The following is a 22,519-nucleotide window of genomic DNA, read 5'->3' on the forward strand; positions in this document are numbered from 1 at the left end:
CCAGTGGCTCTGCAGCCCTTTACTCTGAGTCCACCACTCACCAAACAACCTTTTGATTATTAACTTCGTTTCCCAGTACTTACTAAGAGCCATCAGCCCACCTTCTATGGAGCCGGTGAAGGAGATTCAAACGCAACAGTTTAGAAAAACAAAGGAGGAAGAGGACATTGCAGGAATGCAGAGGTCTAAATAAGGAAAAATGTCTCTCCTGGCAGAACTGAGCCACCTCTGTCTGCCTCAGAGACTTGGGAGGGAGCCTGGAGACAATGGACCACATGAGCTCTGCTATCTTCTCTAGTTCCAATCTTTCTTATCTTTAAAGGAAGGGACATGAGTCACGTGACCTCAAAACGCCATTTCAACACAGCCACTGTATTTCTAAATACAACAATAATTATTGGCTGGGCATGGTGGCTCATGCCTGTAATCCCAGCACTTTGGGAGGCCGAGGTGAAAGAACAGCTTGAGCTCAGGAGCTCAAGACCAGCCCGTGCAACATAGCAAGACCCCATCTCTGCAAAAAATTTAAAAATCAGCTGGGTGTGGTGGTGTATGCCTGTAGTCCCAGCTACTCAGGAGGAAGAAGGAGGAGGATGAAGCAGAAGGATGGCTTGAGCCCAGGAGGTCAAGGATGCAGTAAGCCACAGTCAAACTACTGCACTACAGCCTAATGTGCTTCTCTTAATTAGTTTAATTGAGGACCTAACACCATACTAAATTCTAAGGTAGTGATATATGAGATTCCTTCTACCTCCAAAAACTTACAATCTAGTCCAGAAGATTGGGTACAAACACTAAAGTGTCAAAAATTGAAAAAGAAGGTAAAATATGTTCAGGTATCAAAAGGGTGAAAACAATAAATGCAAAAGGAGTCTGAATGTAGAGAAACCTCAATGTATTCTGAAATACACTGGGAAGATTTCATGAACGAGACTGGCCCTAAGCCACCTATTTACAACAATATCCAAAAAACAAAAAAAAACTGACAAAGCAAATAAAAATATAAAGGTATGAGACTAAGAAATGTTGAGTTCTCTAGAGGATGAAATACAGTTTGAAAGATAATACAACATTATATAAAAAGTCTGGCCTCTGGAGCCAAGGAAAGATGAACTGACTTTGAATATCAACTGTTATTTACCGTGCAAACTATTTAACACCTGTGAGCCTGTTTTTTTGTTATTAAAATGAAGGCAACTATACTACTTTTGCAGAATCACTGGGAGAATTAAATTGGAAATTAGTAAGCACCTAGCACAATATTTGACACAAAACATTTCATACAAAAACTACTAATCATCTGTTCCCTGAACTGTTCATTACTCAATATTTAAATGTGTTTAGGGATACAGAAATTGTACTTTTCTTTTTGAGGGATTACATGGCAAAACTGTTATTTTAGTTTCAAAAACTGCCTCTTCTCTTTCCGTAAGAATTTATAAAATTTAATCATGTTTCTTTATCATCTATCTTAATATGATTCAACACTGTCACTTCATTCATCAATAACAGACACTTTTAAGTTCAACGACTACAGTCACAAAACAAAACAAAACAAAAAGGGATTCAATAACTTTTAGTTAACACACCTGAATTTTTGGGGAAAGCAAACATTCAAAGGTATTATTAGATGATACACTATTTTGTGTATGCACTGGCATTAAAGAGCCAACTGGAAGGTCCAGGATACTGGGTGGAACCTGCTAATGGGCTTTTCTACAGGCTGACCTGGCAGGGACCTTCCAGCTGCTTTTAGTGTTGCACTCTTAAAAAGGAACACACTGCCAAGGATCACCAGACAGGTAACAAAAGAGAAAGCAAAACAAACTTTAAAGAAACTCAGAGCAAAGAGAGAGCAGAAGTCATTTTAAATATTTTATTAGTAATATTCTCAAATAAGTAAAAAAGGATGGTTCAGAAAAAAGAGCTATTGGATATTGCAAGTATGATAGCAGAAATGAAAATTTCAATCACGGTTTCTTTTTTTCTTTTTTTTTTTTTTAAGATGGAGTTTCGCTCTTGTTACCCAGGCTGGAGCTCAGTGGCGCAATCTCAGCTCACCGCACCCTCCGCCTCCCAGATTCAAGCGATTCTCCTGCCTCAGCCTCCCGAGTATCTGGGATTACAGGCATGCGCCACCATGCCCAGCTAATTTTGTATTTTTAGTAGAGACGGGGTTTCTCCATGTTGGTTAGGCTGATCTCAAACTCCCAACCTCAGGTGATCCACCCGCCTCGGCCTCCCAAAGTGCTGGGATTACAGGCATAAGCCACCACGCCCGGCCTCAATCACTGTTTCAAAGGCAAGTTGAAGCTATTTCTCAGGAGAAAAAGAAAACAAAGAGACAGAAAACAGAAAAGAGGCTTTCAAAATTAAGGAATCCATGTTAAAGGCCCAATATCTGATTAACAGCACTTCATCTTCCACATTAGGAAGCCAAAAGATAACATCTAAAACTGCAAAACAAAGAGAGTAGCATAAACATTATTTTAGAAATTCAGAGGTAAATACCCAGGGAAAGCTAAAAGAATTGGCAGTTGTTTGTAAAGAAAAGATGGGAAATTGGGAGGCATACAGCAGGGCACTGCTGTTTATTAAAATCTTTTAGCGTTGCTGCCTTTTCAGTTATGGTCATGTATTACTTTGATAAAAATTAAATTTAGGCCAGGTGTGATGGCTCATGCCTATAATCCCAGCACTTTGGGAGGCCGAGGCAGGCAGATCACTTGAGGTCAGGAGTTCAAGACCAGCTTGGGCCAACATGGAGAAACCCCATATCTACTAAAAATGCAAAAAAAAAAAAAAAAAAAAAAAAAATTAGCTGGGTGTGGTGGGGCATGCCCGTAATCCCAGCTACTTAGGAGGCTGAGGTAGGAGAATCGCTTGAACCCGGGAGGTGGAAATTGCAGTAAACTGAGATCACACTACTGCACTCCAGCCTAGGCAACAGAATGAACTCCGTCTCAAAAAAAAATTAATTAATTTTAAAAAGTTTAGCACGGCAAACCTCAATTTTTGTTCACTTGATGAAAGTCACAAGTTTATGCACAAGAAAACTGCCCTCTGTGAAATTCTACATGCAAGACACCATACAAAATATGGTATGGAATGAGGAGGAGCAGTAGTTAGCACTTAGGAATGCTGCAGACTGCAGAGGTGATGATGCATGGTAGGAGGTTAGGTGGGAAGGTGACAAGCTAAGCATTCAACACATCCCATCCCTCCAATGTAACTGGAACCATATTTCCATCTGGTCAAGGGTCTTCGCACAACACAAAGGCAGGTGCCTCTCCAGTAGTCCAGCTGGAGACATCCTGGTCATCTCTCAGTTACTCTACAACCACAGGGGAAATACCAAGGGAGTGACACCTGAAGCCTATGGCTTTTGAACATCATCCTAGTGCATTTAGAGTTCTCAAATATGTAAATGTCATGATGTTAAAAACAGGATAGATGAGGCCTCAAAGTGTATGAAGAAAACTTGGAATTACAGTTTGTTTTTATTTTGAACTTCAGCTTAACTATAAATGCTATTTCTTACCGAAAGAAATGTCTCAATGTTCTCGTGAACAAAGGAAACAATATCCTGCCAGTCCAGAATGTCTCCCAGCCAGCTATTCTGACGACTGACATGCAACTTCTGTCCTTTGTGCCTTCCAGAGTGTGTTACATTCTATGGAATAAAACAGTGCAGACATGAAATTCCCATCTTAATCTAAAGAACAGAAAGTATAAATGTCACATTTTGCTTCAGGTCCCCTTCATCACTTCAGTAAGTACTCCAAGGAAAAGAACTTTGCATTATTTAAGAAATCAGCTAAGGCCGGGTGCGGTGGCTCATGTCTGTAATCCCAGCACTTTGGGAGGCCGAGGCAGGTGGATCACAAGGTCAGGAGTTTGAGACCACCCTGACCAACATGGTGAAACCCCATCTCTACTAAAAATACAAAAATTAGCCAGGCGTGGTGGCACGTGCCTGTAATCCCAGCTACTCAGGAGGCTGAGGCAAGAGAATTGCTTGAATCCAGGAGGCGGAGGTTGCAGTGAGCCAAGAATGTACCACGGCACTCCAGCCTGGGTGACAGAGCAAGACTCTGTCTAAAAAAGAAAAAAGAAATCAGCTACGAACTCCATTTAAAGACCTGAAATATAAAATTCTTTTGTTTATATTCTAGGTACCTTGTCTAAGTCTCGCTCCAGTGCTTCCCTCCTAAATACATTTGCAAAGACATCTTATTTCTCAGTATCTACAACACACTAAACAGCATTTACTTTCTTTTTTTTTTTTTTTTTTTAGTTTTTAGGCCCTCCACCTTTCTCTTGATTTCCCATCTTTGCTTTTTCCTCCTTTCCTCATTTTTTTTTTTTTGGGACGGGGTCTTGCTCTATCACCCAGGCTAGAGTGCAGTGGTGCGATTTCGGCTCACTGCAAACTCCGCCTCCCAGGTTCATGCCATTCTCCTGCCTCAGCCTCCCGAGTAGCTGTGACTACGGGCGCCTGCCACAACGCCTGGCTAATTTTTTTTTTGTATTTTTAGTAGAGACGGGGTTTCACTGTGTTAGCCAGGATAGTCTTGATCTCCTGATCTCGTGATCCGCCCGCCTCAGCCTCCCAAAGTGCTAGGATTACAGGCGTGAGCCACCACGCCCAGCCCTCATTTTTCTTTTTAATTTACCATACAAGGTAAGGAAAATGAGGACAGAAGAATATAACAAGCAAACGTAAGGCAGTAAATAGAATTTATCTATCTGGAAGACATTGGCAGAGATATGAGAATAACTAAATTTGAAAGAGATAAGGGCCAGGTAAAATGGCTCTCATCTGTAATCCTACCACTTTGGGAGGCTGAGGCGAGAGGATCACTTGAGCCTAGCCGTTCAAGACCAACCCAGGCAACATAGTGAGATCCTATCTTTATAAAAATTTAAAAATTAGACAAGCATGATGGTAGGAATGTTGTCTTCTTTTTTTAGAGACAGCGTCTTGCTTGCCCTGTCACCAGGCTGCACTGGAGTGCAATGGTGCAGTCATAGCTCACTGCAGCCTCCAATTCCTGAGCTTCAGTGATCCTCCCGCCTCAGTCTCCCCGAGTAGCTAGGACTACAGGCGCACACCACCACACCCAGCTAATTTTTTGTAGAGATGGGGTCTCACTATGTTGCCCAGGCTGGTCTGAAGCTCCCAGCCTCATGTGATCCTCCCACTTCAGCCTCCCAAATAGCCAGGATTACAGACATGAGCCACCAGGCCCAGACAACAAATATGCCAATTTTGTACAAAGAACTGGAGCATCCCTGGATTTTGGTACCAGAGGGGTGTCTTAGGACCGATCACCCATGATACTGGGGGACAATTGTACTTAACCACTTAACAAACCTATGCTTATGAAACACTGACCTTCCTCTACTATAAAATAAAGCTCAGGAGGTGTGAGGGGTAATAAAAGCTATTTGTAAGCAGAAGCCCCAGAGTTAGCAAAAGAAATAGATATACCTTTCTAATTATCTGGTTTTTCAGCAGATGGGATCAAATCTATGATACTCACCTAGATATTCCCTGAATATTTTTTCCCAAGTCTTTGAAATCTATAAAAACTAACAATCTTCCTTCAACTCATCCCAAAGCAAGAGTACATAATCCCAAACAAGTCACTAAGCAACAAATTCAAATTTAAAATCAGCCCTCCTCCCCCTCCACCCTACATTAAGAGACTTACATATATACTTGCTCTCCTTACATGAACTCTGAGAATCATCACCACCAACTCTATCCACTCTATACACAGCACGGCTCCTGCTAGCCCACAGGCCCTGCCAGATCCAGTGTATAGGATGGTCTGGACAACATGGCAAAACCCTGTCTCTACAAAAAATACAAAAAAATTCACCAGGCATGGTGGCATGCACCTGTAATCCCAGCTACTCAGGAGGCTGAGGCAGGAGGATCACTCGAGCCCAAGAGACGGAGTATGTTATAGTAAGCCAAGATCACACCACTGCACTCCAGTCTGGGTGACAGAGCGAGACCCTGTCTCAAAAAATAAATAAATAAATAATAATAAAAAATAAAAGATCTCTAAGCGTTTAGATTCAGTTTCACTTTCTCAAAGAAAAGTTATTAATGCCTACAGTTGTACTGTCTAAAACAGTAGCCAGTAGGAGCTAGCCACATGTGGCTACTGAGCACTTAAAATATGGCTAGCTCAAAAACTGAGATGTGCTGCTGGTATAAAATGCATGCTAGATTTCAAAGACATATGGAAAAAAAATGATATAAAATATCTTATTAAATTTTTTCTAATGATTATATATTAAAATAATAGTATTTGGGGCATATTGGGTTAAATAAAATATCACTAAAAAACTAAAACAGGTAAAATTCGTTTAGTATAAGTATTAGAAAATTTAACATTACCTTATGTGGCTTGCATTACACTTCTCCCGCACAGAGCTAGTCTAGGGGATGAGATGTCCGTGACAACAGACTGAGGATGGAATACTGACGCACCAGAGAGATAGGCAGGTTCTGCCATGGAGACTAACCATCAACTCACACTGACTTTTAGTGACCTGAGGCTTAAGGTTTTGCTGTTTTGAAATTTCCATGAATGAAATCCCACTGTGAATATAATCCTATCTAGTTGATGAGTCAATAAAAGGACTTTATTAGTTTACAACAGGAAACTTTAGCTAAAATAACTTACCTTTACAAACCAAGAGTGATACAGTCTGTCCCAAAGTTCTAGTACTTGCTTTTCAATTACAGCAGTATTGTTCACCTTATCTCCTAGAATTTTATGGAGCTAGAAAAAAACACAGATACGACGTGGTACAATATTTCAGGCAACAACAGAGTAAAATTAATATATGCTGGGTATTTACATTTGTTCCAAAGCAAACAAAAATGTTCCAGACTATTTATCTCTAGCCATATTACGTTCTTTCCTTAAATCTACTCCTGAGTATTCCCAGTAAATTTCCTTTCTCATGTTTTTGCTTCTATTTTCTTTGCTCTATTCTTAGGTCTCTAAGAGAGCTACCTCACGCTATCAGAGAATGGTGCAAATGAAGCCATGATTGCTGACTTATCTGATCTTACCTGTCCAGAGAAAAATCTTTCCCCTGTAATCCCAGTGACCTTCCATTATACATATGTCTCATGTTACATTTATCTCTATTATTAAGAATTACCACAGAATTTTAAGTAAAATTTTAGGATGTTGGCTATAAACACGAATCCTTCCTCTATTTGCATGCTGAGAGATGTCCGGTCTCATTTACAATTGATCAGACTGGCCCCGGGTTTGTGGAAATCAAGTACACTGAGACAACGTAACTTAGAGGAAGGCTATCATTATAAAATGTTGTCCCACTTAGTTATTATTAAAACCATATTATAATATAAAAAACAATTTTCACACTTTCAGAGGCTGAGGTGGGCAGATCGCTTGAACCCAGGAGTTTGAGATCAGCCTGAGCAACATGGCGAAACCCCATCTTTACAAAAATACAAAAAAATTACCAAGTGTGGTGGCGCATGCCTGCAGTCCCAGCTACTCAGGAGACTGAGATGAGAGGATCACCTGAGTCCAGGAGGTTGAGGCTGCAGTGAGCCGTGATCACGCCAACATGCTCCAGCCTGAGTAACAGAGTAAGACCTGGTCTCAGAAAAAAAAACAAAAACCCAAAGAATTTCTAGAAGTTTGTAGGCCCACTTCCTTAATACAATTGTTTCCATTTTTCTATTTCCTCTGCAACTTTCTGCCTATTTACATAGAGACAATTTAGAATTTTTTCTACTTCATTATAAACATTCAATCTTTAGCCTTCATCACTAACCTTCATCTTTAATACTTTTATATTAATTCATTACGTTCTGGTATTAGCTGATCATTACCCACTCTAAGGATATACAATAAATCCTTCTTTTTTTTTGAGATAGAGTCTTGCTCTGTCACCCAGGCTGAAGTGCAGTGGCGCGATCTCGACTCTCATTGCAACCTCTGCCTCCCAGGTTCGAGCAATTCTCCTGTCTCAGCCTCCTGAGTAGCTGGGATTACAGGTGTGCGCCCCCACACCCAGTTAATTTTTGTATTTTTAGTAGAGATGGGGTTTCACCATGTTGGCCAGGCTGGTCTTGAACTCCTAACCTCAAGTGATCTGCCCACCTCAGCCTCCACAAGTGCTGGGATTACAGGCATGAGCCACCACGCCCACCCATGAATCCTAATTTTTAGTGTCATGAGTAACACTGCAATGAACATCCTTTTACATAGTTTTTAAGGATATATATGGATGTTCATTGCAGGGTTACTTGTGACATAAATAAATGTACTGCAACCAAATAAAATGAGTTTTTGTTTTGTTTTTTTTGAGACAGGGTCTCACTCTGTCACCCAGGCCGGAGTGCAGTGGCATGATCATGGCTCACTGAAGCCTGGACCTCCCAGACTCAAGCGATCCTGCCACCTAAGACAGCCAAGTAGCTGGGATCACAGGCGCACTGACACCAGACAGAGCTAATTTTCTTATTTTTTGTAGAGACAAGGTCTCACTATGTTGCCCAAGCTGGTCTGGGCTCAAGTGATCCTCCTGACTCGGCCTCCCAAAGTGCTGGGATTACAGGCATGAGCCACCACACCCAGCCGAAAATGAGCATTTTAATGGCTCTTGCTATGCATTGGTAAACTGACTTCTATAATAAGAAATATACCAATTAATGCTTTCTAAAATTACATAAATGACCCAATTTCCTCAAAGCCTTATGAACTAACTGGAAAATTTTTAGGGAATTTAACAGGTGTGAAATGTAGCCATTATTTATTATTTTCTTCTTTATTAATGAAAGGAGTGACCATTTTCCCACGTTAGTTTACAACATCTATTTCCTTACTCTTTGCCTATTTGATGCTGGCCTTACAGATATGTGAACCAGTTACTAGACATATTCAATGCAAACGTATCTGTTCATATTTGTTCCTTTATATTTGATTTATTCATAAACTGAAAACTAAATATTCAATATAATAAAGCCATTTGGCCAGGCATCGTGGCTCATGCCTTGTAATCATAGCACTTTGGGAGGCCATGGTGGAAGGATTGCGTAAGCACAGGAGTTCGAGACCAGCCTGGGCAACATGGTGAAACCACGTCTCTATAAAAACAGAAAAATTGGCAGGGCATGGTGGTGCATGCCTGTAGTTCCAGCTACTCAGGAGGCTGAAGTGGTAGGATCACTTGAGCCTAGGAGGTGGAAGTTGCAGTGAGCTGAGATCACGCCACTGCACTCCAGCCTGGGCAACAGAGCAAGACTCCCTCTCCACAAAAAGAAAAAAAAAACTACACATCACTGAAACACAAGTACTGTTGGTGGTGCCTGATATGCCTCTGCATATGAGAGGCAACCAAGCATGAAGCATAGTCAGAACATCATTTGAGAGCCATCTAATTTGAGGTAAACAAGCTCATCTAATTTTTTTTTCTTTTTTTTGAGATGGAGTTTCTCCGTCTCTGAGAGTAGAGTGCAGTGGCATGATCTCGGCTCACTGCAACCTCTGCCTCCCGAGTTCAAGTGATTCTCCTGCCTCAGCCTCCTGAGTAGCTCGGATTACAGGCGTGCGCAACCACGCCTGGCTAACTTTTGTATTTTTAGTAGAGACCAGGTTTCACCATGTTGGTCAGGCTGGTCTCGAACTCTTGACCCCATGATCCGCCGCCTGCCTTGGCCTCCCAAAGTGCTTGGATTATAGGCGTGAGCCACCACGGCCAGCCTGATTCCATATATGTGTATACAGCGTATCTTCCATTATATTATTTTTTTAGATTTTGTTTTTGAATTTTCAATATGGAATCACATACTAATATATTTTTCTAGGCACAAGTCTTACTGCAACAAATCCTGTCGATTCTTACATAATCCTAATTATTTCAGTATACTAAAAGTGCAAATTACCTTTATTCCTACAGGCAAAACTAGGGAGGGAAAGAATATCCCAAATCCATATGGTGGAATCTAATCCTTAACTGTGCTGCCTTTCCTCTATCATTCATTTCCCCTTCACAAAGCTCCCTCCACTTCAGTCAAGATCATTTCCTCAAGCACACTCCTGTCTCAGCATCTCAATCATCTCTTCAAGCACACTCCTGTCTCTGCATCTTGGCTCACACAAATACCCTTCTTAAAATCCACTCTTCCTTGATCTGCCATTCCTTCAAGGTTTATCTCAAGTGCCACATCAAAAGCACTTAATCCAGTTCTGGGCACACACTGCGAGCATGCTACAGTAGAAACAAAGGATTTGAAGTTAAGCTTCAGTTTCAAACCAAGCTCTGCAATTTACTACACGACCACTGGGAACTGACTCAGCCTTGCTGAGTCTTGTTTCCTCATCTGCAAAGCAGGCAAAATAATTCATACTGCAGGCTTCTTAGAAACAGTAAAAGAAAAAAAAACAAATATTAAATGAAAATAACTGGAAACTGCCAAAGACAGTTATCAGCAGACAATAAGATTTAATATGCATTAATACCTTTTTCTCTACAAAGCCTTATTTGACTACCCAAACCAAGTGATCATTCTGTCCTAACTCACAAGTAATGAATCACATCTATCTTGAAAAAGTACATGACCAACCTCTCAGATTGTTCAGGGTACTACCCCTATTCAATGTGATCTTTCAAAAGATTTCATTGTATGTTGCTTACCTGTTTATTTAAGCCTATTTACTGCTGTGAATAGCATTTCTACTTATGTTTTATCAAAGCAACAAGCAACCACCAGTAAAGACCCTGAAAAGAGAAAGCCACAAAGAAAGTTTCTTCCCTTACCTTGTGAGTTATCCATTCTCGTCCATACTGATACACGTTGTTAGCCGCAGAATTCAGGGCTCTTTGGACTACCTGAGCCTCAGGAAGCCAACTAATGTAAAACAAAGAAAAAAATGAAAAAAGTACACTTTCTGTGTAGTGTACCAATAATGCTTTGAACTTGATATGCTTAATCCATAACAGACAGACTGTTGATCATTCACCAATACACAGATACCAAAGCATCATGAGCAGGACTTCCAGGCTTAACTGTCCTAAGTCTCTAACATTCAGGATGTCCTTTCAATCTTTCCTTAGCTTTTATTTATTTTATTTTATTTTTGAGATGGAGTTTCACTCTTCTTGCCCAGGCTGGAGTGCAATGGCACGATCTCGGCTCGGTGCAACCCTGCGACTTCCACCTCCTGGGTTCAAGTGATTCTCCTGCCTCAGCCTCCCAAGTAGCTGAGATCATAGGCACGTCACCACGCCTGGCTAATTTTGTATTTTAGTAGAGATAGGGTTTCACCATGTTAGTCAGACTGGTCTCAAACTCCTGATCTCAAGTGATCCACCTGCCTCAGCCTCCCAAAGTTCTGGGATTACAGGCATGAGCCATGGCACCAGGCCTCAATGTTTCCTTAGCTTTTAGACCCACTTTCCCCACAACCTCCCTTTCATTCTACTCTGCCTGGTTTCTCTGTTCACATGTCCTGAGTCACCTGCCTTATTCAGCACCAAAGAAAATGGTTCTGGGAGACTGGGATATTCAACATCTGGGACAGGGTTCTCAAAGTGTGGTCCACAAACCAGCAGCATCAGAACTTTTTGGAAACCTGTTAGAAATGAAAAATTGGGGGCCCAAACCTAGATCTACTGAAAAAGGAACACGACTAGGGCCCAGCAATCTGTACCTTAACAAACCCTGCAGGTGATACTGATGGCATGCTACAGTTTGAGAATCACTAATCTAAGGAAGTGAAGAAATCAGAAAGAATGCAGGAAATGAAGAAGGTGAATCATTATCCTCAAGTTGGTTATCTACTGAAGATCTTTTAAAGATAGAATTCCTGAGCAAAGTTCCAACTATGCAAGGAACTATAGCCCACAGCTTTACTTGTTGTGCAGTGAGAGGTGGCCTCCTCATTCTTCTGTTGACTAAGCAGGCTGTACCATACACCTTAATCAAGAATCCTTTACACAATCCTAATGTTTTCCACAAGAGAAAATATGTTCACGTATTATCTAAATTGTTCCTCTTAATAATATACGCTGGAGATGTTGACATTCACAAATTTAACAGTCCTCATTTCAACTATTCCAGAGTGAAGCCAAAAGGTGAAGGCAAGCAGAAGCTAGTCATTTACTTTCCTGAGGCCCCAAAATGACACATCCTACAAACCTAACACAAAAGGGTCAATTAGGTAAAGTCAAATGTGCAACATCCTCAACTCACAGCAACTTTATGTGCTGTGTATGAGAAAGATGGTCATAAAGAGAAAGTCAGTTGCCACTGACAGCCACAAAGTCATGGTGCCTAGGAAAGTGGTCTTTAACCAGAAAAAAATAAGAGATCTTTTGAATAAATTAAAAAGTAGACTATTAAACCAGTAGTGGGTTGAATCTTAAGTATTAACCAGTTTGTCCCACACTCCAAATAAAGTATCTGTGAAACTTCTTGGCAAATGCCTCAGTCCACTCAAACATTTCTCAGCAAGGCCAGCACGCTGGCTCATGCCTGTAATCCCAGCACTTTGGGAGGCCAAGGCAGGCAGATTACTTGAGGCCAAGAGTTCAAGACCAGCCTGGCCAACAAGGCAAAACCCCGTCTCTACTAAAAAATACAAAAATTAGCTGGGCATGGTTGCACAAAACTGTAGTCCCAGCTACTCAGGAGCCTGAGGCACAGGAATCACTTGAGCCCAGGAGGCAGACGTTGCAATGAGCCAAGATCATACCACTACCCTCCAGCCTGGGCAAAAGAGCAAGACTGTCTCAAAAAAAAAAAAAAAAAAAAAAAAAATTTCTCAGCAAGTAAGACAAAATTTCAAACGTTTAGAGACACAAATATAATAATTTACAGTATAAGCATATAAACAGGAAATCTGGGTCACTAAACTGAAATGTGATTCGGGAGAAATTAAGTAGCTTTTAAATTACTCTTTTATACATTCATCAGTGGCTTGAAGGGACTGCTAAATATTTTCAATTATATGGTAACTTATAATTGATATTATATTGATATATTGGTATTATATTGATATTATATATTATAATGATAACACTCTCCTGTAGTGTTATTCAAAAGTGTGAAGATGGGCAGGGCATGGTGGCTCACGCCTGTAATCCCAGCACTTTGAGAGGCCGAGGCGGGTGGATCACCTGAGGTCAGTAGTTTGTGACCAGCCTGGCCAACATGGTGAAACCCCGTCTCTACTAAAAATGAAAAAATTAGCCAGGTGTGTTGGTGTGCGCCTGTAGTCCCAGCTACTTGGGAGGCTGAGGAAGGACAATTGCTTGAACCCAGGAGGCAGAGGTTGCAGTGAGCCGAGATCATGCCATTGCATTCCAGCCTGGGCGGCAAGGGCAAGACTCCATCTCAAAAAAAAAAAAAAAAAAGTGTGAAGATTCATAGAGGTATCTGGACAGATCCTTAATGATTCACAAATGTCTATTGGGCCTGGGAAAACGTCTTATTGGCCACTATGAAAACACTTTCCCAATGTACTCACACAGGTTTCCTAAGAGCAACAAATGAGAGGAGCTGTTTTGGGGACAAGGTAGAGGTACTGGCTCAGTCCCAGCCTCCCTCAAGAGACATGGGGCCAGAAACACAGGAGCTGCCTTAGCTGGGCTGTACTCCGGCCTTACACCTCTACAGCCCCTGAACTGAGCTCCTTCCTTGGAGATTCACTGCCTCAGCCTATCACTAACTCCCCTACTCACTCAAGAGGGATCCCTCAGCAGAAACCAATGCCCTACAGTTTAGACTGGTCTGCCTTCACCTTCCTGGGTAAAGGTTAATCTCTATCACCTACTACCTACCAAGAGAACAACCCTGATTAAAAACAACTTAGTTTAGCCTACTGGGTTTCTCCCAAGTAAGCGAAGGGATAAGTGCAACTGAGAACCATTTCAGTGCCATCTCCTAATGAGGGTCCTGAGGCACAGGAATCAACAGGCTTGAGACAAGTCAGGAGAAAGCAGAAAATGAGCTCCCGACTAACAACTGCCGAAGACAAGAATCAGTATGTATAACATCATTATTTTCTTTAGAGCTCCACTAAGATGATCCTAATCTGTCTAATTTACCCACCAGCTTACGAGGCACATCCAGCAGAAGTCAAGGGACTACATGGGCCATATAAAACCACACCAAGTTGGAAGAAAGGACATCTGGACTTATTCTTAACTGTATCTTCTCCACTAGGAGTATCTACATGAATCCCCTACAAGGTCAACTGCCCTCCTGCTGACAGAATCCACTGAGTACTGAGAGATGCAGGAAACCATTATCATTATTTCATGCCGACCCCTACTATTTCCAATCCCATCCCCACCTATCTGCTGAAAAAGAATCAGACCTTCTATGAATCACCAAAGTCTAAGCAACTTCAAAAAGCCTTCCTTGGCCGGACGCGGTCACTCAAGTCTGTAATCCCAGCACTTTGGTAGGCCGAGGCAGGTGGATCATGACATCAGGAGATCGAGACCATCCTGGCTAACACGGTGAAACCCTATCTCTACTAAAAATACAAAAAAAAATTAGCCGGGCGTGGTGGCAGGTGCCTGTAGTCCCAGCTACTCGGGAGGCTGAGGCAGGAGAATGGCGTGCACCTGGGAGACGGAGCTTGCATTGAGCCAAGATCGCGCCACTGCACTCCAGCCTGGGCGACAGAGCAAGACACCATCTCAAAAAAAAAAAAAAAAAGGCCTTCCTTTTGGGAGGCCAAAGCGGGTGGATCACTTGAGGTCAGGAGTTCAAAGACCAGCCTGGCCAACATGGTAAAACCCTCTCTTACTAAAAACAAAAAACTTAGCCAGGCATGGTAGTGCGTACATGACTGTAATTCCGGCTACTTGGGAGGCACAGGAATCGCTTGAACCCAGGAGGTGAAGGTTGCACTGAGCCAAGATCACACCACTGCACTCCAGCCTGGGTTAGAGTGAGACTCTGTGTCAAAACAAAAACAAAAACAAAAACCTTCCTAAATGGAACATTAATTGGCAATAAAAAAGAACAAACTTGATACCTACAACATCTTGGATGAGCTTCAAGAGAATTATGCTAAGCAACAAAAAGCCAATCTCAAAAGGCTGCATGCTCCATGACTGGATTTACGTATTATTCTCAAAATGATTTTATAGCTATGGAGAACTGATCAGTGGTTGCTAAGAGTTAGGGAAATATTGAAGGAAAGGGTAGAGGATGGGTGTGGCTGTTAAGGGGTGGCATGAGGAAGCCTGCAATGTAACAGTTATGTACTGAGTGTGTTGATAGCTGACATGAAGCTACATAGAGGATGAAATCTGAAGGTCAGTGTATTATAGCAATGCCAATTTCCTGGTTTTATTGTACTATAGTTATGCAAGATGACAACACTGGAGGGGATGGGGTGAAGAGTATATGGGTCTTCCCTGTATATGTCTTTGCAACTCCCTGTGAATCTATAATTATTACTTCAAAATTTCAAACAAAAGACAAACCTTTCTTCTACTACCTGATCTGGGGCTGCTCAGATTGTGTGCCTTTGATACAGTTGCAGAGAGAATGCTGCTACTATTCAAAACCGGTACAAAAGGGCTCTGCATTGACTTCCAGTACAGAAGAATGACCCAAAGAAAAGGAGCCCTCTGGATGTGAGGGCTGAGGCTGAGCCCTAGAGGACAACATTTGGAAGGTCTATCATCCTATGAAAGGCTCTATCCACTTGCCTAGATCCCAGGTGGCTCCTTCCTAAAATCCCATACCTGATACATGTTGGTTCCTCCTTTTTCCCATTCTCCTTTTAAAATGTATTATATCCAAAGAGCCAGAGGACAGAAGACCTCACTTCTTACTTCAAAGATGTATGGCCCCTAATTTCCCGCCTTCCCCGCTCCACTGAACTCACAGTATTTATATCCATATCCATTCTGACCTGCTTTCCCCAGCTGTTCCATTCGTGCCATGGATTCATCTCATGCTTCATCCTCAGAGAAATGCACTAAGAATTATCTCTCTCCTAATATTTACAACCCCTTCCACTCTACCAGTTCTTTCCCTGGAGCATACAAACAAGGCTTCTCCATCTTAAAAAATTAAACAAAACTGCTCTATACCTCCTTCCCAGCTACGTTCCATAGGCAAACTTGGGAAAGAGCAGTCTATACCTGCTTTCTCTAGTTCCTCGTTCCCAATAATTTCTCATCACACTGCAATCTAATGGGCTTCTGCTACACCAATTAAATGAACTGCTCTTGCAGCTGCTAAACCCAATTTCACTCTTAGAAAATTTCTGCAGCAATTTGACATTGCTGACCACTACTACTGTCTCAAAACGTTCTCTTTCCTTGGTTTTCCTCTTACCTTTCTCATAGCCCATTCTCATTTTCCTTTGTGAACCTATTGTTTTTTGCTCACCCTTAAAGGCTTAAGATATCCACAGGGCGCACCTCCAGACATCCTCTCTGTACCTTACATACATTCTTTATGCTGATGCTTCTCAAAACTCAAGATCCAACCCAGACCTCTCATCTGATTCCTGGACTTACACAGCAACTGCCCATTTTTTAACTTCACCCCATCTCTCCTGAACCGCATACCTACATAGTCAACAGCCTACTGGATGCCTCTACTTACAACAGTCACCTCAAACTCAACAGGTAAACAGGGGAATTAGTTTCCCTACCAAATCTGCTCTTCTATTTCCTGTCTTGGTGAATCCACCATCACTCACTAATTTCCAAAGCTAGAAACATAAGTCATGCTAGATTTCTTCCTCCTATATCCAATTAATCACCAACTAACCCCCTTAAGACCTTATAAATCTGTCCCTCCTGTTCACCTCCACTGAAACTGTCTACAGTTCAGGGCTTTGTCACTTCTCATCTGGTTTACTCTAGAAGCTTTTAATTTGTCTCAAAGGTTTACATCTTGTATACCTTCAATCTTTTCTCCACAAAGCAGCTGAAAAGCCTGTTCTAGAATGAAATATGATGATTCTACTTCTCTACTTATATCCTTAATCAAAATAATAAACATATCTATCACTCCTAAAAATTTCCTTGCACCTATATGTATGTCCTCCCTAGAGCTCCACCCCAATCCACAGGCAACCATTAATCTTACTGTCACTACAGATTAGTCTGCATTTCCTAGAACTTTAAATAAATGAAATCGTACCATTTGGGCTTTTTGTCTGAATTTTTTCACTCAACTTACTTTTTTATTGTTGTTTTTTTGAGACATAGTCTTACCCTATCATCCAGGCCGGAGTGCAGTGGTGCAATCTTGGCTCACTGCAACCTCCGTCTCCCGAGTTCAAGCGATTCATGTGCCTCAGCCTCCCAAGTACCTGGGATTACAGGTGTGTGCCACACACCCAGTTCATTTTTGTATTTTTAGTAGAGATGGGGTTTCACCATATTGGCCAGGCTGGTCTCAAACTCCTGACCTCAGGTGATCCTCCCGCCTCGGCCTCCCAAAGTGCTGGGATTACAGGCGTGAGCCACCCACCGCACCTGGCCAACATACTTATTTTGAGAGTCATCCATGTTGGTACATGTATCATTAGTCCATTTTTTTTAATGCTGTATAATATTCCACTGCATAAATATACCACAATTTATATTTCAAAAGAAATATACTTCTTTTATGAAGATTCAAATAGGCCAGGCACAGTGGCTCATGCCTGTAATCCCAGCACTTCGGGAGGCTGAGGAGGGAAGATCACTTGAGCCCAGGTGTTCAAGACCAGCCTAGGCAACATGGTGAAACTCCTACAAAAAATATAAAAATTAGCCGAGTATAGTGGCTCATGCCTGTAGTCCCAGCTACTCAGGAGACTAAAGTGGGAGGAATGATTGAGCCCAGGAGATCAAGCCTTCAGTGAGACATGATTGTGCCACTTTAATCTAGCCTGGGTGACAGAGCAAGACCCTGTCTCAAAAAAAAAAAAAAAATTTTATTCTAAATCAAGTTCAAGTAATGTCCTAGGCAGGTTTTATATAAAAGAATAAAGTAGAGGCAAAGGAAAAAAATCAACTTAAATCTCAACTTATAAGCCTAAAACTGGCAGAATATTTCCTGACTTATGACTGTCTTGAGGTTAATAAAAGGCAGGTCATACAATGTGTCATCAAGTTGTTAGGTGGATAACACAGCTCTGCTGAACATCCCCCACAAAAACTGAAAACCCTTCTTCCAGAAGCCAAATTACACAGAGATCCTATAAAACAGAAGTTGGCAAATTTTTCTGTAAAGGACTAGAGAGTAAGTATTTTAGGCTCTGCAGAACATATAATCTCTGCCACAGCTACTCAATTCTGTTTGTCCTTGAAGCCCCAAAACAGCCAGAGAAAATATGTCAATGAGTAGACATAGGTATGTTCCACTAAAACTTCATTTACCAAAGTGTTGGGAAAAGGGCTTGTGGGGTGCCTGTATAAACTGGCCACAAAAATATGGGACAATAAGTTGTGGAAAGCCATGAGAGGCCTCTGAGTAGAAAAGTCTCCGAATTGCCATCATGTTCCCATACTCAGAGCAAGACCTGCTCTCTTATCTGTAAACACTGTGTTCAAGGAGAAAGACACTCCCTTGAAACACTGGAATGTGGACAGATGTGCAGGCTCCTAGTTAAGCCCGCTCCCACTAGCTACTCTCCAACAAGTTAAAGATATGCTGTTTGAGCACAAAGGAGATTGATTTAAACCGCTATTGCTATAGATTACACCTATGATGTACTGCCTCCCTTTCAGTGTTTTCACCCTGAACATCTGCTTTTTAGATCTAAGTGATTACACTCAATAAACAGTGTGGAGACCAGAGCTCAGCGCCTTTTGCAGCCTCCATTATGCAACTGGCCCCGACTCCCACCTTCATGAACTCTTAACCTGTACCTGTCTCTTCTCATTCCTTTGTCGCCACCGAACTTCAGGTACCCTACGGGTGGTGTTGAGGCTGGTCCCCAACACAAAAGGAGGTGGCTGAATTTGGCCCTGGGCCATAGTTCACCTATCCTTCCTCAAAAATAATACAATATGGGAATATGTCAATAATTATAAAACTGGGCATGGTGGTGTACACCTGTAGTCTCAGCTACTCCAGAGGCTAAAGCAGGAGAACTGCTTGAGCCCAGGAGTTCAAGATCAGCCTGGACAACATGGTGAGACCTCATTTCTTAAAAATAAATAAATAACATAAATTTAAAAATTATATAGAAAGTTGAGGAGTTACAGTTTCCATGTTATAGTGGAAACTTTCCTTCAGTTGATCAGAAGCAGTGGTTATAAATGACTCTGCCACTGCGGAATTATTATCTCAAGTTCCTTAACCTTTGATCTTGTTTCCTCATGTGTAAAATGGGGATAATTTCTTCAATCTATCTCACACAGTCACTGTGAGGAACAAATGACATAAGACAGATGAAGTGCTTTGTAAATTATAAACATGCTGTAAACCTCAATTATAAAACAAAGTATCATTTACCATGAATTGTACCTAAAATCCTGAGCACTTTCCTCCCACCCTCTGTATTACATGACATTCTTCTTCAAAAATGACAATATTTATCAAAGCTCTGGCAAACCCTATCTTTTATCTTCCAATGCAGCTGCATCAATGAAGGTCATTTCGTGCAAACAGATGCTGAAACTAGGCCATTCATCTCTCTTCTTTTTCAAAACAATATTCTTACTTTGCCCACTCAGGGTGATTTGCTAGAGTTTCATTAATCAAATTACTTGTGACTTCAATCATGTGTACACTCTCTTGATGTACCTGTATTACAGATAAAGAAAGAAAAGAATCTCAGTAAAAAATAAACCCAATTTAACATTTATTTTTCTACTCTATTATTGGAACAATGCTTTGAGAGCCAAATAAATACACATCTTTGCTTTAATTAATTTAGAAACATGCAGCGCAAAGTTACTATACATTATATCTAATGATACGCACTACGGGAAATAAAAAGTACATGCTAGCTCCCTGTTCAACACATTACTTAAGAAAAAAATACATAAATAGATATGTTCAAATACTTGACACGTATATGTACATACATTTCATTTGCATGAATATATCGTATAAATGTGTTTGTGTATCTATGTAAGCAATATCAGCACTTTGTGAGCTAACAGGTTCATCACGCAGTGTGAGACAAACAGGCAAATAAGGAACTAACTTTTTTTTTTTGTTTTTTTTTTTTTTTTTTTAGCCAGGTTCTCGCTCTGTCACCCAGGCTTGCTGGTGTGTAGTGGCGCAATCTCAGCTCGATATAACCTCCACCCCCCACGTTCAAGCGATTCTCGTGCCTCAGTCTCCTGAGTAGCTGGGATTACAGGCACTCACAACCACGCCTGTCTAATTTTGTATTTTTAGTAGAAAAAAGGTTTTGCCATGTTGGCCAGGCTGGTCTTGAACTCCTGACCTCAAGGGATCTATCCACCTTGGCCTCCCAAAGTGCTAGGATTACAGGTGTGAGCCACTGTAAGTAAACTGCAACTAAGTAAGGTTTCTGAGTAAAAAAAGCCAACAGAAGCTGCACCTCTGAATTTACCTTGCCCAATAACCAACAAATTGAGGGAGATAAAATGGGAATTAATCAGTTGAAAAAAAATTTTTTCACCCAGGACATCCAAACAAGGAAAGAAACATAATCTGATACAATTTGGAACTCAGCCATCAGGTAAAGAAACAAAACATTCTGGAGCACAACAGAGAGGCGTAACAGCTCACTCCTAAACTGACCCCATCACCCAGGAGCTACACAGGTGAGCTGACAAATATATTACGATTCACGAGTAACAGGGAGAAAAGAAGCCACATCGTTATCCTTTTCTGATGACAGAGGGAAAGAAAGTGTAATGAGGGAGAAAAGGATAAATCAGAGGAAAGAGATCAAAGTCCCCCACCCACACCCACCCCTCATCTCTGTCCCTTTCTGCAGTGAAAGTTCCATAGTATGCCAGGAATTGAGTGAGACAGTACAAAGACTGACGGTATTTTTCCATGGGCATGGGTATGAGATTAACCAAGTAGCAAAATCACTAGGGCAAGTCACATACCAACCCAGAACAGAACAGAGTCTAGATACCCTAACAAAGATACATAGCCACCTAAGCCATCAAGTGATACCACTTCCAATTCTATCGGGCCCCAGAAAAGTAGGAAGAACACAAAATACAAACTGCACCAAGACGGGGAAAACAAACTGATTTCAGACACAATGAGGGGATAATCAACTCAGGTGCAATGCCTGAAAAACAGCCAGAATGAATAAGGCCTGACACGTTCTTGTGAGGACTTAGGCTAGCATTTTGTGGGATATGGAAAAAGAGAGGGCTGTAAGCTAAGGGACATAATCTTACTTAGATGTTTAAAGTAAGTTTGGACGCTGTGTTGAAAACAGACTAAATGAGGCTAAGGAACAATTCAAGAGAGAACGGGGATAGCTTTGAGCAGGACAGTAGCGGTACTGAGAAAGAAGTGACTGGATTTGAGACCTATCTTACATTAACCAACTGTTGGATGTTAAACGGGTTTTACATTCCCGAAATAAACCTCACATAGATATATTTTCCTTTTTACATACTGCAGGATTTAATCTGTTAATGTTTTGTTAAGGATTTTTGTGTCTATTTATAAGGGATACTGGTCTGCAGTTTCCCTTCTGTGAATGCCTTTGACTTTGGTATCTGGGCAATACTAGCCTCATAAAATGAGCTGACAAGTGTTACTTCTTTGCTAACTGAACAACACTGTGTAGAACAGGCAGTATTTCTTCGCTACATGTTTGATAAAACTCATCAGTGAGATCATCTGGGCCTGAGCGCTTCTTGGTAGGAAGAATTTCAAACACTAATTCAATTTCTTGTCCTCATAGTGGGCTACAATTTTTCTATTTCTTCTTGAGTCTGTTCCACTCCTTCTCTACAAGGAATTTCTCCATTTAATGTTATCAAACTTGATGGCATAAAGTTGTTCACAATATTCCCTTATCCTTTCAAGATCCGTGACATATGCAGAGATGTTTCCTCTTTTGTACTTGATATTGGTAATTTGTATCTTCTTTTTTCTTCATCAGTCTGGCTAAAATTTTGTCAATTTTATTGATGTTTTTCAAAGAAACAGCTTTTGAGTTTATTCATGTTTTCACTATTGTTTCTCCTTTTCAAATTTCCTTGATTTGCACCTGATCCTTATTATTTCCTTCCTTTCATTTACTTTGGATTTAATTTGCTATTATTTGCTAGCTTCTGAAGGTGGAAACTTAAGTCACTGATTTTCCTTTTTCAAATATAAGCATTTAATGACATAAACTTCCAACAAGACACTGCTTCAGCTGCATCCCACAAATTTTGATATGCAGTGGCTTCATTTTCTTCCATTTTAAAATCTTCTAATTTCCTTTGAAATTTATTCGATTCACAGGTTTAGAAGTATGTTGCTTAAAAGACTTAGAACCAACCCAAATGTCCAACAATGATAGACTGGATTAAGAAAATG

The 22,519-nt window shown here is 41.1% G+C and overlaps 1 protein-coding gene across 11 annotated transcripts in view; it reads right to left on the minus strand.

Moving 5' to 3' along the window:
* TMEM245 (transmembrane protein 245) overlaps positions 1-22,519 on the minus strand; it is a 104,813-nt gene that overhangs the window by 38,515 nt on the left and 43,779 nt on the right. For all 11 annotated transcript variants that reach the window (NM_001438169.1, NM_001438166.1, NM_001438172.1 and 8 more), the window contains 4 exons: positions 19,707-19,789; positions 10,828-10,918; positions 6,705-6,803; positions 3,542-3,673 (listed from right to left, as the gene is read on the minus strand). In NM_001438169.1, the coding sequence (NP_001425098.1) occupies positions 3,542-3,673; positions 6,705-6,803; positions 10,828-10,918; positions 19,707-19,789 (405 nt within the window). The remainder of the gene's footprint in view (positions 1-3,541; positions 3,674-6,704; positions 6,804-10,827; positions 10,919-19,706; positions 19,790-22,519) is intronic.

This window comes from Homo sapiens, chromosome 9, assembly GCF_000001405.40.
Source record: "Homo sapiens chromosome 9, GRCh38.p14 Primary Assembly".
Classification (NCBI taxonomy): Eukaryota; Metazoa; Chordata; class Mammalia; order Primates; family Hominidae; genus Homo; species Homo sapiens.